The following is an 18731-nucleotide window of genomic DNA, read 5'->3' as shown; positions in this document are numbered from 1 at the left end:
CAACCTATGCTAGGTGTTTTAGACATATTCTTTTATTGAAACTGCACCCTGAAATTGGCATTATTACCAACTTTTTATAAATGCGAAATCCCAGGCTTGAAAACGTGGAGTCACTTGTCCTAGATCAATTCTGGAAAATTCTGGAATACCAGCCCAGGTCCCTTTGGCTCCTATGCCTGTGCTATGATTGACTACACCAGGCCTCATGCTCACCCCAGTCTCCCTTCCTCCTCCTCTCTCCTCCCCTTTTCCCTCTACCCCAGGGACGGCAAAGGAGTTGGCTGTCGGAACCTAGTCCCTTTTCTCCCTAATACAAAACACTTGGGAGTCACCGTATTTTAGTGAAGGACAAAGAATAAATAGATGTCTGTTCTCCAAGCATTTCAAATTTTGGAGATCCAGATGTGGATTTTCTAGAAAGTTAATGAAGACTGACAAGAGTCTCTCACTTGCTGAGACCTCTGTGGGGCCCTGGGAGGAGCCCTAGCAATATGTTCACACAGACTTATATTTCTATAAAACTGGCAAAAGCTACAAAAAATTAGCCAGGCATGGTGGCGGGCGCCTGTAGTCCCAGCTACACGGGAGGCTGAGGCAGGAGAATCCCTTAAACCCGGGAGGTGGAGGTTGCAGTGAGCCAAGATCGCACCACTGCACTCCAGCCTGAGCGACAGAGCAAGACTTTGTTTAAAAAAAAAAAAAAGAAAAAAAAAAAAAAACACTGGCAAAAGCAAGAGATTTTTAAATTCCTCTTCTGAAAAGCTCCCCCACCCCCAGTTTGTGTCAGCTACAGGCCCCACAGCCCAGATCTTCCCTCACAAATCTCACCCATCACAGAAGCCTTCACTATCCTTGTGCCTTGGCTGAGACCCAAGGGGGCTGCAGCCAGGGAGGAAAGCTGGGGAGTGGGGACCCCTGCCCCTGAGCCTGGGCAGCAGGAAGCTGTGTGCATGGCTCCAAACATGAGAAAACAGCCTGAATTTTCCCACAGGAACCCTGACACAATATTTATGCATACAGTCAGGCATCACTTAATGATGGGGATTCTAAGAAATGTGTTCTAACAAATGTGTCCTGGGAGATGTTGTCATTCTGTGAACATCATTGAGTGCACTAACACAAACCTGGATGGCAGAGCCTACTACACACTGGGGCTGTTCGGTGTAGCCTATTGCAGCTAGGCCGCAAAGCTGTACAGCGGGTTACAGTCCTGAATGCTGTAGGCAATTGTAACACAATTGGGTATTGAAACATATCTCAACATAGAAGAGGTACAGTAAAAATACGATATTATAATCTTATGGGACCACTGTTGTATATGCAGCGCATGACTATAGTTGAAAGAATGTATTTATAATAGTTCTCAGGCACATTGTAGATTTGTGGGCATACCAGGAGACCAAAGACCACACTATTGTTTCCATGAGAAATATGTTCCAAATACCAATGGTCAATCCCAAAAGAAATTGTCTGGGCACCATTGATGAAAGTGGTTTTAAGCAACCCCACAAGTACAGATTCTGCCCATTCTTCAAAGCCAGACTAAATATCTGCCTGAGGAGGCCTCCCAGGATTGTCTCTGAGCTGAGTCCCATCCCTGAAGTCCTGAAGTCCAAGCACACTTCTCTCTACCTCTCTGCGGCACGTATCACCTACAACCTAGATTTATATTTGTTTGTGGACATGACTTAGCTTGTCTACTTTACTGTAAGTCCCAGGGGCAGGTCCCTTTCTTATTCATCCTGAAATCCCCTTAACACCCAAACACGGAAGTCCAGAAATACCGTCTGGCTGAATGAGTGAAAGAATTGGTGCTTGAATGAATGAAATCTGTTAGGGGTCCATCTCTCTTCTGAACTTCTAAATCACTTATTTGCCTCTTTCCTCTAGCAGTTATTTATTAAACATGTGACACATTCCCTATGTCAGCTCTTGTTTTGTTCACTTTTTCCCCAAGAAGAAGTTTAGCTTCTTAAGGAGAAATCGTGGTCTCTATTTTTTGTATACTTCATGATGATGAACATCAAGATTTGCTCAGAGTAAGAGCTCAGCAAATGTTGGTTGGCGGAATGACTAATCTTCAGGTGGAGGTGCTTTAGAGGATGTAGAATCACACAATTACTAAGCATAAATAGGTCTTGATGTATCAGACAGGCATTTATTCTCAGGAAAAATGAACTGCGGGAGACTTAGTACTGGTCAGCATAACAGACAGTATTCCCATCTCATTTAAATGTCTTTATTACCAACTCTGGACCAAGATTGCTCTGAAATTCCTTGAACTGCTGGAAATAAAAGAAGTAACCCTTTTAACTCTCAAAATGAAATTTAAAAAATTAAAAATAAAAAAATCAAGTAAAATCTAATATCAGAAATCATAAAACCAAAAGAGCATTTATGTTGGTCTGTGTCATTGTCTCAGGTGGGAAACTTTTCTTACAGGGAATTGATGCTTTTCTTGCAGAGAATAGGTGCCCTGAGTTTCTGTTCCCACAGACACAGCGATGAGTTGGCAGAATTCATTTCCTTTTCATGCCTGGGTAAAAATCTTAAGCAACAACACAGGGAGTTCAGGTCCTTGCAAAAGCAGGTCCATCCTCCGACAGTTCGGAGACGAGAGCAGGGACCAGTGTGGTTCTGGAATAGGTATGAGGACGGGGACACCACACAGCTCATGTCCAGAGGATGGAATCGCTTTGGCTCTATGCCATTATCAGGACATTCTTCTGCTTCAAACTGGTCTGAAACAAAATGGTACTTGTTTAAAAAGAAAGAAATTCCATACATTTTTCAAAACAAGGTAAGAGCTAGATAAACAACTATCCAGTTCAGTTTGCATTACGCAGTATTCCAGGGGTTACAGATTTTGTGACCCAGGGAGGGTCCCTGGAAATCAAATCAGAACAAGAAACCCCAAGTCAGTGCCACAAGAAGAGTGGGAGTGTATAGTTTGTCCAGACCCAGCAAGGCCATGCATGGGCTCTGTCACAACAGGCTCATATTTTGGTCGGTGCCACTGTCTTGTCACCAGGCCAACCCCTAAGTTTGCAGATGAGGAAAGTCAGGCCTAGGTAGCTTGAGGTCTTGTTTGAACACTGTCAGTGCTAGAGGGAGAAGGAGGAGATAGAGATGAAGGGAGGAGGATGAGCAAGGGAACTGAAGCTCTGGCTAAACTCCATGCATTGCAAGTCTTCCTCTTCCATTACCCTAGTCATGCTCCTAGTGATTAAAGCTAGCAAAGGCCAGCCGGGCATGGTGGCTCACGCCTGTAATCCCAGCACTTTGGGAAGCTGAGGCAGGCTGATCACATGAGGTCAGGAGTTCGAGACCAGCCTGGCCAACATGGTAAAACCCTGTCTCTACTAAAATACAAAAATTAGCTGGGCGTGGTGGCAAACACCTGTAATCCCAGCCGCTTGGGAGGCTGAGGCAGGAGAATCACTTGAACCCAGAAGGCAGAGGTTGCAATGAGCCAAGATCACACCACTGCACTCCAGCCTGGGTGACAGAGCCAGACTCTGTCTCAAAAAAAAAGAAAAAGAAAAAAAAAGCTAGCAAAGACCTCACAATCAGACAGATTCAGATGAGAGCTTAGTTCTGACTCTTGCTGGCTAACAGCAACTCAGTTTGTCTCAGCAGTTTTCTTTCTTTTGTCAGAGATAGTACTTCCTCACAGAGTTCTTGTGAGCTCAAAATGCAATGTGCACAGAGCCCGAGACACAATAGACACTCAGTAAATGATATTCCCAGCCCTCCCTCTCCATAGCCATATTTCAAAATGGAGCCATATGTTGTACAGCATCTAGGTTTGTGTATTTGTATTGAGTCCTTAGCCTGGAAGGATCTTTGGTCTTAGGGTATTGAGATGTGATGGAAAGCTCCGGACCTACTTCTTTGCATTTGCACAAGTTGTCATGTGTAGGAGCCAGGAGGTGACTGAACATGGCTGCTGGGGACCCCCCTTATTCCCAGCAGCTTCTCTAGCCTGAGCCATTTCAGGTTTATCTCTCCCATAAAAAACAGGGGAGCAACAATCTCGCTGTTCATATTGTTTGCCCTAGACTTTGCGATTGCCCAGGGCTGTGATGCATGGCACAGCCAATGGGCCTGCTCCTAACACACTGGAGTTTCCTGGAGCATAATCACTTAGTACGAAGCACTTACCGTCTCCTGACTGGAAAGGAGTCAGTGAGGCACAAGAGATACTCAGCAACTTCATTGTCCTTGATGCCCAAGCTCGGTTGACTTTTGCAGCCTTACTTCAGTTATTTATGCAATTGGAGTAGCAAAAGACCTCCGCAATTGTGCAAAGAACCGTCACCAACCAAGGTTTAAAAGAGGGCAAGATACATGAGCAAGTGCACTAAGTCAAAGGAAAAATTCAATACAGACAACAAATAGGGAAAGAATTGTGAATGCCAAATAATATCACATGTTTTAAAGTGGCACGAGTCAATATTCTTCTTTGTGTGATCCAAATGGCTTGTTTTTAGTGTCCCGTGTTACTGACTGCATGTTGGTGCTAGTCTATTATCAGTGAAAGTGCCTAGGTTTTATTTTACAGAGATGGAGACAGCAGTACCTTGCCTAATTTCTTTATCTGTTATTTGAGAGACTGTCACCTTAAGAACTTTCATTTTTAAACATTCTGAAAGATGGGCATCTTGAAATTACCTAGGTAACTACTAGCAAGTACAGTTCCGACACTGTTGGCCCTAAATTCTGGATGCCGAGGTTGGGGGCTGGTCGGTGAGAAATAATGGTCATCTGTGAAAGAGAGGGCCCTGACTGCTTGGTGTATTTATAACAGGAGATAAAAGCATGTTGACCAATAGGGGTTCGAACCTTTATTTAGTGAAATGAATGGGTTAGGAAACAGAATAGGTTTGTAAGAGATCCATCCGTCAGAACAGAGCCATGCCAAAAATTTAGTATAAAAAGAAGTATGAGAGGAGAATTGCAAAGGGCAAGAGATTTCCTCAAATACCCCTGGCTTTGTGTCAGTATGAATATGTTACAAGGAAGTATATTATTCTACTCTAAAATTGTTTAATTTTTTTTTTTTTTTGAGACAGAGTCTTGCTGTGTCCCTCAGTTTGGAGTGCAGTGGCGCGATCTCAGCTCACTGCAAGCTCCGCCTCCCAGGTTCACGCCATTCTCCTGCCTCAGCCTCCCTAGTAGCTGGGACTACAGGCGCGCACCAACACGCCCGGCTAATTTTTTGTATTTTTAGTAGAAACGGGGTTTCACCGTGTTAGCCAAGATGGTCTCGATCTCCTGACCTCGTGATCTGCCCGTCTCGGCCTCCCAAAGTGCTGGGATTACAGGCGTGAGCCACCGCGCCCGTCCGTGTTTAAAATTTTTAAAGAAAGTCTTGTTGACTTGTTGATTTACAGTGGATACATAGTTCTGGGAGTGATTTATTAGACTTCTAAAATGCGTCATTACACAAGACCACTGAATATCAGTTTAGACCAGAAAATACTTGTATTTTTGCCTAGCAAATAATGTTCATTGTACTAATTATAAGCACGTTTTCTTTACAGATACACCCTTGAACAGCGTGTAGCGTGTTCTTGACCTTGACAAAAGGGCAGTAATGTATACAGAATGTTTACACTGCAGGCTGAGTTCAGCGTTAATAGTTTAGTGTTGGCCAGGCGTGGTGGCTCATGCCTGTAATCCCAGCACTTTGGGAGGCCGAGATGGGCGGATCACCTGAGGTCAGGAGTTCAAGACCAGCCTGGCCAACATGATGAAACCCTGTCTCTACAAAAATACAAAAATTAGCCGGGCATGATGGCAGGTGCCTTAATCCCAGCTACTTGGGAGGCTGAGGCAGGAGAATCACTTGAACCCGGGAGGCGGTGGTTGTAGTGAGCCGAGATCACGCCACTGTACTCCAGCCTGGGTGACAGAGCAAGACTACCTCTCCAAAAAACAGCTCAGTGTTAACAGTTGGGCCTTGTTAAAAGAAGGAGAGAAAGGGTTTCAGTCCCTTCCTAGAAAACTTTTTTAGTCATTTGGTTTGATTTAAAATATAAACACAAAAAAGTAACTTGAGCTATAATAGAATTTTGCCTGAAAATTCCAATTCATAAAACTTTTGCCTAAAAATTCTGATTCATGAAAATTCCAATTAATGAAAATTCTGATTACATAATCATTCAACTTTTCAATTTTTTGAAATTAAATATGTAATTTTAAATCCTTTAGAGTAAGCAAGGGAAACTAATATTTGGAGAGTGGCTACCCTATGCTGGGTATTTTGCTAGAAACTTTAATACATTGTTCTATCTAATCCTCACCATCACTCTAGGAGATGTGGTTGGAGCTGCCACAGAGAAGCTGTTATTGTACCGCTTCTAGTTGTATCAAAAAAAAGGCACAAGTTGCTAACCATCATTTTCCAGTATATCTATTACAAAAAGAAAATAAAATTAGGGAATGGAAGTGCTTTTCTCAGAGAACATGACTTTACCACTGTTAAGCCATTTGTATCTTGTGTGATTTTAAAACTAATACAACAAAAATTTACCTGGGGAACCAAATAGATACAAGTTTTTCTAGACAAAACTGCATGTTTTTGTGTATCATCCTGAGGTTATAACTTGAACAATGGGTATTAAGGTAAATATAGTTATGATCAACCTTAACACACAAATAGGAAACATTATTCTTATAGGCTTTTGGCTTATTTTTAAAGTGCATTTCCAAGTGTAATATTTGCTCCAATGATATTATTCTATCAAAACCCAACGATCCAACTATGAATTTATATAAACATTTCTTGGTCATGTTTTCTGTTAAATATATGGTTCTGACTTTGGAAGGACAGATGAAAGAAAAATTTAATAGGTTTGTGAAAGTGATCTCCAAATCCCTGAAGTGCTTGCATCCGTTCTTCATTCCTTAGGTCGTTTTTACAGAAGTGTATAAACATATGGGTGAGTACCCTAGCAACCAGAAGGAGCACGTCAGCAGAAAGTCATTCAACTGCATTCCACAGCCATTACTCTTCCCTCAGCATAAAGAGCTTGGAACATTCCTCCCTTCCCTAAATGTGAAAACAATTAGATTATTTATTATGCAAATCTACCTAAATGCATAAGGAAGAAAAAAACTATATACATAAACCCCATATCTTTCACAAGATATGATTCCTTTATGGTTGTAAGGGAGGAATTGATTATGGATATTTTTGAATTATTAGAACTGGAAAAATCATAACTTAGAAAAAGATACATGGGGCATCCAGTTGATGGCTGATAGATGGAGTTGATCCCTGCCCAGTGCTAATATGACATTTTTAACATGTTATTCTTTGTGAGGTATTTACATTTACATTTTGATCAAGAATGCTAGAAACCTAAAATCCTAAAATCCCCTTAAGATTCAAAGGGACACACCCCAGATGGTGGAACTTTAGGCGTTTGATGCCTTGAGATGGCTGTCAGGGAGATGTGTTGTGAAAAGCAGTTCTGCACCCTGTGCGGTTGCCCACTAATAAGCCCCGGGGCTGGCTCCACTGAGAATTCTCACTAGAAACAAGTACATTATTTCAACGTTTGGTGTGTCTGAAAGATTCCATGCAGAATATATTTTGACACAATCTTCCTATTTTACTTAACAATTGCTGCTTCAATAAACCTGTTCTCCAGGCAAGAAGATGATTTTTTTTTTTTTTTGAGAGTCTTGCTGTGTCGCACAAGCTGGAATGCAATGGTGTGATCTCAGGTCATTGCAACCTCCGCCTCCCGTGTTCAAGTGATTCTCTTGCTTCAGCCTCCTGAGTAGCTGAGATTACAGGCATGCACCACCACATCCGGCTAATTCTTGTATTTTTGGTAGACATGTTTTTGTATTTTGGGGTTTCACCATGTTGGCCAGGCTGGTCTCGGACCCCTGACCTCAAGTGATCCACCTGCCTCAGCCTCCCAAAGTGCTGAAATTACAGGCGTGAGCCACTGTGCCCGGCCAAGAAGATGAAATTTTTTAGATTAAATTGAAGTGAAATTTCTTCTATGAATGTGGATTGATGCTAACTTTTATCATAGAAAATATACATGTGATATCCTAATCACATTCTTCTAATTGCACTTTCTGTGGCTGCTTGGTTCCATCGTCATGAATTCATTTGTTCATTCATCCATATTTCCTTAGTGTTCAACCCCATGCCAGGCACTGCCCTAGTTACCAGGGTTCCAGCAGTAGCATAACAGAACCCATTAGTACAAGAATGGGTCTCACATTCTTATTATCATGGAAAATAAGGAACTTACTATATTCTGTCTGAGGGTAAATTTTGGATAGAAAGTTATAGGAAAGACACCAACAACATTTAGTTGGGTTTTTTGTTTGTTCGTTTCTTTGTTTGTTTTCGGTTTTGGTTTTTTTAGAGACAGGGTCTTGATCTGTCACCCGGCTGGAGTGCAGTGGTACAATTGTAGCCCACTGCAGCTCTGAACTCCTTGGCTTAAGTGGTCCTCCCACCTCAGCCTCCCAAACAACTAGGACTACAGGCACATGCTACGCACGGGCAAAATTTTTGAAAATTTGTTTTGTACAGCCAGGGTCTTGTACAGAGTTGTCCAGGCTGGTCTGCAACTCCTGGCCTCAAGGGATCCACCTAGGCCTCCCAAAGTGTTGGAATTACAAGTGTGAGCCACCATGCCTAGTCTTTTTTTTTTGAACCCCCTAAATATTTCTTGCTGTTTGGAAAACTGTTACATCAAATGTTTCAGAGTAGAATCAACAGCAGGTCACTTTTGTGCAACTGCACAGGATTCTACAGAGTAAAACGCTAGATATCTCTTCAATCAATGATTATTTATGAAGCACTGTGATGGTTAATTTCATATGTCAACCTTGCTCAGCCACAGTATTTGGATCTATTCAGACATTACTCTAGCTGTTTCTGTGAAAGCATTTTTTAGATGAGATTAACATTTAAATCAGTAGACTTTGAGTAAAGCAGATCATCCTCTATAAAGTGGGTGGGCCTTATCCAACCAGTTCAAGGCCTTAATAGAAAAAGGCTGACCTGCCCTAGAGGTGAGGGAATTCTGCCAGCAGACAGCCTTCAGATTTGAGCTACAGCATCATCTCTTCCCTGGGTCTCCAGCCTGCAACCTACTCTGCTGATTTTGGACTTACCAGACTCCACACTCGCATAAACCAATTCCTTAAAATCAGTTCCTATCTATCTATCTATCTTTCTTTCTTTCTATCTATCATCTATCTATCTTTCTTTCTATCTTTCTATCTATCATCTATCTATCTATCATCTATCTATCTATCCATCTATCTATCTATCTATCTATCTATCTATCTATCTATCTATCTATCTTTCTATCTTTCTATCTATCTTTCTATCTATCTATCTATCTATCTATCTATCTATCTATCTATCTATCTATCTATTATCTCCTATAAGTTCTGTTTCCCTGAACAACCCTGAGTAATCCATGCATCATTTTGAGAGATGATGTGTGTCTTTGGAATCTAGAGTTTCTTTCAAGACTTTTTTTTTTTAATGGGGTCTTACTCTGTTGCCCAGGCTAGAGTGCAGTGGTACCATCATAGCCCACTGTAGCCTCAAATTCCTGGGCTCAAGCTATCCTCCACCTCACCGTCCCAAGTAGCTTGGACTACAGAGGTGCACCACCACACCTGGGTAATTCTCATATTTTTTTGTAGAGACAGAGTCTCACTATGTTGCCCATGCTGGCCAGGAAACACTACTAATCAAGGCAAGACAAGCAACCTCACGGACCTTCCAGGGAATTCTTCTCCCCTTTTTGACTCAAGAGCCTACCCCACAAATTATTGATTCCATTCAGATAATGTTTCCCATTGAACCTTACCAAAAAGATCACTATCATTGTTCTTTAATTTAAAAAAAAAAAACACAGATTTCTTTACTCTTTCCTGCAAGAAAAAAGAGAAGATGAGAAAAGCCATATCCTAATTGTAGCCATCCATGTCATCTATTTTGCATTCTCATTGTACTGCTATACAAGGTGTTGCTGTTTAGGGGAGGGGAAGGTCTTGGCCACAATGCCCTGGTCAAATCCTGAGGGCCTCTTTCCAGGCTAGTCTCATCCCAGCTGCCTGTTTAGCAAGGTCTGAAGGGATTCAGAACACAGACCTCCTGGTCTATTGCTTGCTTTTCTTCAATACAAAGGTGTCTTTTGGGGAAACGATCATAGATTCTTACTATATGAAATTTTGAAAATCTCCCCAACGGTGCCACCACTTCTATTTTTAAAACATGTTCATTGAAATTTAAAAAGAAGCAGTTATTCTTTAATGCAAATTTGTGAGATTTGTACAGGCTTTCAGCACAAGCTTTATGTATGTCAGTGGTGCTCAAAGTATGGTCTCCAGACCAGCAGCATCTGCAACACCTGAGAATTTGTCAGAAATGCACATTATCAGGCCCCACCTCGGACCTATGGAATTGGAAACTCTGCCAGTGAAGCCCAGCAATCTGTGCTTTCAAAAGTCCTCCAGGGAGTGGAATGATAGTTGTCAGAGGCTAGGAAAGGGAGTGGGATGGAGAGAGGTTGGTTAATGGGTAGAAGCATACGGTTAGATAGAATAAGTTCGAATGTTCCACAGTACAGCAGGGAAGCCATAGTTAACAATAATTTGGCTAGCGCGGTGGCTCACGCCTGTAATCCCAGCATTTTGGGAGGCCAAGGCAGGTGGATCACCTGAGGTCAGGAGTTCTAGACCAGCCTGGCCAACATGGTGAAACCCTGCCTGTACTAAAAATACAAAAATTAGCCAGGCTTGGTGGCACGTGCCTGTAATCCTAGCTACTTGGGGTGCTGAGGCAGGAGAATCGCTTGAATCCGGGAGGCGGAGGTTGCAGTGAGCCGAGATCGTGCCATCCCACTCCAGCCTGGGGGACAAGAGGGAGATTTCGTCCCAAAAATAATAATAATAATAATTTACTGTATATTTCAAAATAGCCAGAAGAGAAGATTTGAATTGTTCCTAGCACAAAGAAACAATGTTAGAGGGACTGTATATCTTAAATACTTTGATTTGATCACTATACCTTGTATGCATATATCAAGATATCACATGTACCCCATATAATTATTATTATTATTATTTCGAGATGGAGTCTTGCTCTTTTGCCCAGGCTGGAGTACAGTGGTGCCATCTTGGTTTACTGCAACCTCCACCTCCCAGCTTCAAGCAATTCTCCTGCCTCAGCCTCCTAAGTAGCTGGGACTACATGTGGACACCACCAAGCTCAGCTAAACCCCATGCAATTATTATGTATCAATTTTTAAAATTTCAAGCCCTCCAGGGGATTCTAAAGCATGCTACGGTTTGAGAACCCCTTATACATGTATTATGCAACTCACTCAGCAGGCAGCTAAGCTCCCTAACCCAAGGGGGTTGATTGAATTTATGGTAAACTAAAGCATGTCAATTATATAATTTTCTCAATATGATACTTGTTCAAATATGATACTTGTCCTTGAATAAACATCATCTCTTTAGTCATCAAATACAATTTAAATAAATATGCGACAGGAAATTGTTTGCACATTCTTGTGCTAGTCCTCTAGACAAAAGCAGGCAGAATAGAGTATTAGTGACATGGTGGCCACAGGTGGAGAGCTGAACACAGGGAAAAACACACCGACGAGCTCCAATCCATGCTCATTAGTTGCAAGAACAGACCTGCAGACAAACACCAGGTGTGCCGTTTCAGCAGACTTCACAATGAGGTGTGACTGTGTGCCCATGCCCATGGATTAACTGAAATGTACTCAGAGGAAATCTGTTCATCTTGCTAGACCAGGACTCCCTACAAGCGAATCTACAGACAGGCTCTCAGTGAATTCCATGAAATAAAACCCCTTTAAATTATCTGCATGGAAATGGTTATCTAGAATAAAAGTGGGGAAAAAGACACACTAAATAGACAACTATACAAATTAGTTCATGTACATTTCACAGATTGAAAGTAAATTGGAAATGATAATTATTCACAATTCAAGGTTTATTAGGCTCACCTGTCTCCAGAAACGGTGTCTGAGCTGACCTGGGGCTTGGGCGCAGAGGGTGGGGAGCTACAGGCAAGGCCACCTGGGTGCCCACAAATGGATGGTAGTGGGGGAGGTCACTTTATCCTCGAAGCACTGTGCTCACAACTCTACCCCCTGCACATGGCTAAGGTGAGCGCTGAGCCTCCCCCCAGGTCCATTTCCCTCACGAAGGAGGACACAGAAAACTGACGCCTGCTACTAGGCATGTTCAGCATTTACAAAAGACGACATGCTTCTCTTAGGATCCCTGACCAAGTATTTCTGCCCAGTCTTCTCAGATCCACCCTGTGTGTTCCCAGAGCACCTTCTGCTTCCTTCTGTCAGAGCCCTTAGTGCATTTTGTTACAATTCTTTTACTTTGTTGTCTCTAGACTGTGAGCTCCTTTTTTATATTTTTAGAGACAAGGTCTCACTGTGTTGCCCAGGCTGGCGAGCAACGACACAATCAAGGCTCACTGCAGCCTCAAATTTGTTGCCTCAAGTGATCCTCCTGCCTTAGCCTCCTAAGTAGCTGGAACTACAGGTATGCCACCAGGCCTGGCTTATTTTATTTTATTTTATTTTATTTTATTTTATTTTATTTTATTTTATTTGAGACGGAGTCTTGCACTATCACCTGGGCTGAAGTACAATGGCGTGATCTTGGCTCACTGCAACCTCCACCTCCTAGGTTCAAGCAATTCTCCTGCCTCAGCCTGCAGAGTAGATGGGGTTACAGGTGCCCACCACCATGCCTGGCTAATTTTTTGTATTTTAAGTAGAGATGGGGTTTCACTATGTTGGCCAGGCTGGTCTCAAACTCCTGACCTTGTGATCCACCTGCCTTGGCCTCCCAAAGTGCTGGGATTACAGGTGTAAGCCACCATGCCTGGCCTAATTTTTTAATTTTTGTAGAGACAGAGTCTCGCTATGTTGCCCAGGCTGGTCCCAGACTCCTAGCCTCAAGTCATCCTCCTGCCTTGGCCTCCTGAACCCAAAGTGGTAAGATTACAGCAGCAAACCACTACTTTCGCAAGCCGCTTCTTCTGGCCTAGACTGTGAACTCCTTGAACGCTTTTTACCCTTACAGAACACTAATACTGGAGCACAGGCACTCTGTAAATTGTTTTCTGCGTGAATAACACTTGTGTCATAAGCCTGGTTTCTTGGGCATTTGCCTGCTTTGAGACCAGGACTTCCTGAGAGTTGAGATAAAAGTGAAAACTTATTTGCCCTTTTTTTCAAATAATATATGTTTCCCACGTGAACCTTCAGTGTCTCTAGTGAGCACTGATACTGTTTAACAAGAATGATGCTAAACCCTGTCCTAAAAGAATGAGTGGGGCCAGGGCTCGCCGGACAGGATTGGTTTACAGCGTTTCAGAGCTTGAGTCCAGAGGCCTGCATAGACCCCAAGGCACAGCATTCTTGAGAGCTGATCTGCAGTCATGGAGATTGACCAATGGGTCAGACACCCAGGGCTACGTCAGAGAGAAACACCCCAGGCACAGGCTACGGGGTGAAGACTAGGGTGGTCAGGTGGCAAAGAAGCTTCAAGCAGAGGATGGGAGCCTGCACCAGGAGGAACTCAGGTATCTGGGGGTGCTGCAGCCTTAAGCTTTCATGTAACTCAGTTTTTGACCTTGGGATCCCCCTTGAAGTCTCTGGTGTGGATACATCCTTCATCCTTTTAGACGTCCTAGCCCTGGACCTAAAGGAGTGTACTTGTCTTGGATGGAACTTTTTCATCTTCCCCAACTGAAGCTCTGTACCCGTTAAACTCCCATTACTTGCTCCCCCTTACCCCCTACCCTGGGCATCCACTATTCTTTCTTTCTTTTTCTTTCTTTCTTTCTTTTTTTCTTTCTTTCTTTCTTTCTTTCTTTCTTTCTTTTTTTCTTTCTCTCTCTCTCTTCCTTCCTTCCTTCCTTCTTTCCTTCCTTCCCTTCCTTCCTTCTTTCCTTTCTTCCCTTCCTTCCTTCCTTCCTTCCTCTCTCTCTCTTTCTTCTTTCTTTCTTTATTTTTTTTTTGAGATGGAGTCTTGCTCTGTCACCCAGGCTGGAGTGCAGTGGCATGATCTTGGCTCACCACAACCTCTGCTTCCCGGTTCAAGCAATTCTCCTGTCTCAGCCTCCTGAGTAGCTGGGATTACAGGCGTACAACACCAGGCCCGGCTAATTTTTGTATTTTTAGTAGAGATGGGGTTTCACCATGTTAGCCAGACTGATCTTGAACTCCTGACTTCATGTGATCCGCCCACCTCGGCCTCCCCAAAGTGCTGGGATTATAGGTGTGAGTCACTGTGCTCGGCCCCATTCTTCCTTTCTCCATCAATTTGACTACTATAGGCACCTCATCTGAGTGGCATCATACAGTATCTGTCCTTTTGTAACTGGTTTATTTCACTTACCGTTATGTCCTCAAGTTCCATCCATGATGTAGCCTGTGTGAGAATTTCCTTCCTCTTAAAAGCTGAGTCTCATTCCATTGTATAGATATGCCACATTTTGTTTATTCATTCGTCTATCAATGAACACTTGGCTGTTTCCACCTTTTGGCTGTTGTGAATAATACTGCTATGAGCATATAGGTGACATAGTCTGAATATTTGTCCCCACCCAAATCTCATGTTGAATTGTATTCCCCAGTCCTGGAGGTGGGGCCTGGTAGGAGATGTTTGGCTCATGGGGGTGGATTCCTCATGGCTTGGTACTGTCTTGTTGACAGTGAGTGAGTTCTCAGAAGATCTGGTCATTTTATAGTGTGTGGCACCTCCCCCACAACTCTCTGTCTCTCTCTCTCGCTCACTTGCTCCTGTTTTCGCCATGTGAAGTGCCTGCTCCCACTTCACCTTTCACCATGAGTAAAAGCTCCCTGAGGCCTCCCCAGAAACCAAGTAGATGCTGGCACCATGCTTCCTGTACAGTCTGCAGAACCTTGAGACAATTTAACCTCTTTTCTTTTTACATCATCCAGCCTCAGGTATTTCTTTATAGCAATGCAAGAATGGCCTAATACAATGGATGTACAAATATTTTTTAGGGTCCCGGCTTTTAGTTATTTTGAGTAGTTACCTAGAAGTGGAATTGCTGGATCATATGGTTATTTCTATGTTGAATCTTTTGAGGAGCCACCATCCTGTCTTCCACAGCAGCTGTGCCATCTTATATTTCTACCAGCAATGCAAAAAGGTTCCAATTTTTCCACATCTTCACCAGCACTTTTTATTTTCTGTTCATTTGTTATTTATAATAGCCATTTGATACGGTATGGCTGTGTCCCCACCCAAATCTCATCTTGTAGTTCCCATAATCCCCACATGTCATGGGAGGGACATGGTAGAAGATAATTGAATCATGGGGGTCATTTCCCCTATCCTGTCCTCGTGATAGTGAGTGAGTTCTCACAAGATGTGATGGTTTTAAGGGGCTTTTCTCTCATTTGCTCAGCAATTATCTTTGCCACTGCCATGTGAAGAAGGACGTGTTTGCTTCCCCTTCCACCATGATTGTAAGTTTTCTGAGGCCTTCCCAGCCACGCTGAACCAAGTCAATCAAATCTCCTTCCTTTATAAATTACCCAGTCGTGGGTAATTAGCAGCATAAAAACGGACTAATATAGCATCCTAACGGGTATGAAGTGATAGCTCCTTGTGCTTTTGATTTGCATTTCCCTTATAGCGGTATTGAGCATCTTCTCATGCGCTTATTGGCCATTCATATACCCTCTTTGAAGACATGTCTATTTGAGCCTTTTGTCCATTAAAAATATAAAATAATTTTTAGTCATTCAAGGAAGCGCACTTCTTATAGTTCTTAATATAATCATAAAATATTCTAGGGTTTTCTTGTTTTTTGTTTTTTTTTTTGAGATGGAATCTCGCTCTGTCGCCCAGGCTAGAGTGCAGTGGTATGATCTCAGCTCACTACAACCTCTGCCTCCCGGGTTCAAGTGATTCTTCTGCCTCAGCCCCCAGAGTAGCTGGGACTGCAGGCGTGCTCCACCATGCCCGGCTAATTTTTATATTTTTAGTAGAGACGGGGTTTCGCCATGTTGGCCAGGCTGGTCTGGAACTACTGGCCTCAGGTGATCTGCCCACCTCAGCCTCCCAAAGTGCTGGGATTACAGGCATGAGCCACCGCACCCAGCCAATATTTCTGTCTTAATACAGACTAGACCTTTATCAACCCACATTGATTTTGCAGATGTTGAGGAAAAATGTAAAGAAACTGTAGATAAGTTATTTAAGAAATATATAAATGTACATAAAGTACTATACATAAATATAAATCATATATTATATATTATACATATTTATATATCCAATATATTCATTTATATTGTACATAGATTGAACATATAAATGAATATATTTAATATATTGAATATATATAAATCATATATATATGATTTGAACAGTACACTGAATATGTATCATGGCCAAATGCCAAAGACCAAATTTTTTTTTCCAGATGGAGTTTTGCTCTTGTCATCCAGGCTGGAGTGCAGTGGCACAATCTTGGCTCACTGCAACCTCCACCTCCCAGGTTCAAGCAATTCTCCTGCCTCAGCCTCCTGAGAAGCTGGGATTACAGGTGCCTGCCACCACGTCCGGCTAAGTTTTTGTATTTTTAATAGAGACAGGGTTTCATCATGTTGGCTAGGCTGGTCTCGAACTCCTGACCTCAGGTGATCCGCCTGCTTCGGCCTCCCGAAGTGCACGGATTACAGGCATGAGCCACCACGCCTGGCCCAAATTACCAAATCTTAAAAACAATATTCAGCCAAAGCTAAGAGAGATCCAGGTTCTGTCAAAGCAGAAGCAGAAGTTGAATACCACCGTCACAGATTAAGCTTCTCAAGTACAAAGATAAATGGCATGTTATCAAAAAATTTAATTAAGATTATAATTTTACCCTTACATATTTTAATAACCAATGTTTTAAAGTTTGACATTATTGTGTAGGAACAAAATTTGTCAAAGCTGTCAGCTGTGAATTCGCGTCTGTAGTCACTCAAGTGCACCTTTATGAGACAAGATTGTCACCAGCACATTGGACGATGGCACCAATCCTTCATCCACAATTGAATATAACTCAAGAAAGGGACTTCAGTGCTGTATTTTCTCAAAGGAACTATGTACCAAGACTGGGAAAATCTCAAAAGTACTTTTTAACTTCAACTACCAAAAAACAGTTGGAAGAACACAGCAAACATTTAGGCAAGCCTTTTAATGTTTAGTTTTTATGTTTAATGTTTAGTTTGATGAACTCAAATCTATGAGAAAACATTCTTATGACATCTGTTTTTTTAAGTTTATTAGAAGGAACAAAATGTGGGCTACCTAATTTTTCTCTAACACTTCCTTTTTTCCCTATTGTTCAAGCTTTTTAGTGTATGTATCTGGAATAAAAAATGTTCATTATGGATTTAACGTATGTTGTTTTGTACTTTTTTTCTCCCTGTAAAACTGAGATGGCAAAATTGACATTATGCTTTTAATATCTCATTCTCGTGATATGTAAAGAATTTTTCAAATAGAACTTAAGAAAAAAGACTTTTGGTCTAAAAGACATTTTTAAAAATTTAACATACAGTTCTTACAGATTATTTTGTTTAATGGTAAAATTGCAAGTATAGGGCCAGGCGCGGTGGCTCATGTCTGTAATCCCAGCACTTTGGGAGGCCAAGGCAGGCAGATTGCTTGAGCCCAGGAGTTAAAGACCAGCCTGGGCAACATTGGGAAAACCTGTCTCTACAAAAGTACAAAAAATTAGCCAGGCATGGTGGTACACACCTGTAGTCCCAGCTACTCAAGAGGCTGAGGTGAGAGGATCACCTGGGCCTGGGAGGTCAAGGCCACAGTGAGCTGTAATCGTGCCACTGCACTCCAGCCTGGGCAACAGAACAAGACATTGTCTCAAAAAAAAAAAAAATGCAAGTATAACAATTCTGAGAAGATTGGAATCATGATATAATCATGATTATGTTACCTTATGTGATTAATTAAATTTTTATAAATATGTATTGGCTTCACTACTATATAGCATTCATTCTAAAACTGACTACCTAAAACACTATTTTAAATAACAGCTTTCTAAATATGTATTAATATTGCAGCAGTTTCCCACGCAATTATAAACTTATGTTGAACTTTAATTGACAGAATTTCAACATAGGAAGCACATAAGGAGATTTCACTCTGTGTTATATTTAGAATGCTTAATTATATTTCAAAGGTTATATTCAAATACTAATAACAAATCCACGCCATGGTTATTCCTATGAGATTTCACTGCAACTAAATATGATGATAACCTGTGTACTTACCTGATCACCAAGCAGCAGAATCCCACATGCTAGAAATGATGTTGAAGCAGCACGGGGCTGCTTAGCCTTCCAAGGCTGTGAAATTAAAGCTGAGATTAAACCACTGAAGTCAGATGCCATCACTTTCCTAATATATGCACTATTTTATTTTTTAAATGGTGGAAAGATAGGAATGAGAGCTTTGTGAACCTGTGAATCCCAGCCCATCTTAAGTGCCATTAAATGTGGGGGATGGCATTTCCATTTCATAAAAGCAGTGACGGCTAAAAATAGAAAGCCATCGGTGACAAAGTTAATAGGAATTCAGCTTGATCTACTAACATTGCTGCCTACGTCACTAACTTTGGT

The 18731-nt window shown here is 42.0% G+C and overlaps 1 long non-coding RNA gene across 1 annotated transcript, besides 2 other annotated features; it reads right to left on the bottom strand.

Moving 5' to 3' along the window:
- Nucleotides 1-2136: 2136 nt before the first annotated feature.
- LINC02856 (long intergenic non-protein coding RNA 2856) lies at nt 2137-4617 on the bottom strand. The gene is made up of 2 exons (XR_002958226.1): nt 4165-4617; nt 2137-2741 (listed from the first exon to the last, which is right to left on the bottom strand). It is a non-coding gene; the product is annotated as a long intergenic non-protein coding RNA 2856 (long non-coding RNA).
- Nucleotides 5255-5761: an enhancer, noted in NCBI's record as "H3K27ac hESC enhancer chr18:9644964-9645470 (GRCh37/hg19 assembly coordinates)". NCBI's record gives its function as "activates a minimal SCP1, AML or CMV promoter by ChIP-STARR-seq in primed H9 embryonic stem cells {active_cell/tissue: H9 hESC(primed)}" and the evidence as "EXISTENCE:reporter gene assay evidence [ECO:0000049][PMID:30033119]".
- Nucleotides 6709-7282: an enhancer, noted in NCBI's record as "OCT4-NANOG-H3K27ac hESC enhancer chr18:9643443-9644016 (GRCh37/hg19 assembly coordinates)". NCBI's record gives its function as "activates a minimal SCP1, AML or CMV promoter by ChIP-STARR-seq in primed H9 embryonic stem cells {active_cell/tissue: H9 hESC(primed)}" and the evidence as "EXISTENCE:reporter gene assay evidence [ECO:0000049][PMID:30033119]".

The sequence above is a fragment of the Homo sapiens genome, chromosome 18, assembly GCF_000001405.40.
Source record: "Homo sapiens chromosome 18, GRCh38.p14 Primary Assembly".
NCBI lineage: Eukaryota > Metazoa > Chordata > Mammalia > Primates > Hominidae > Homo > Homo sapiens.
The sequence above is the reverse complement of the archived record's forward strand: the minus strand, read 5'-3'. Positions and strand labels throughout refer to the sequence as shown.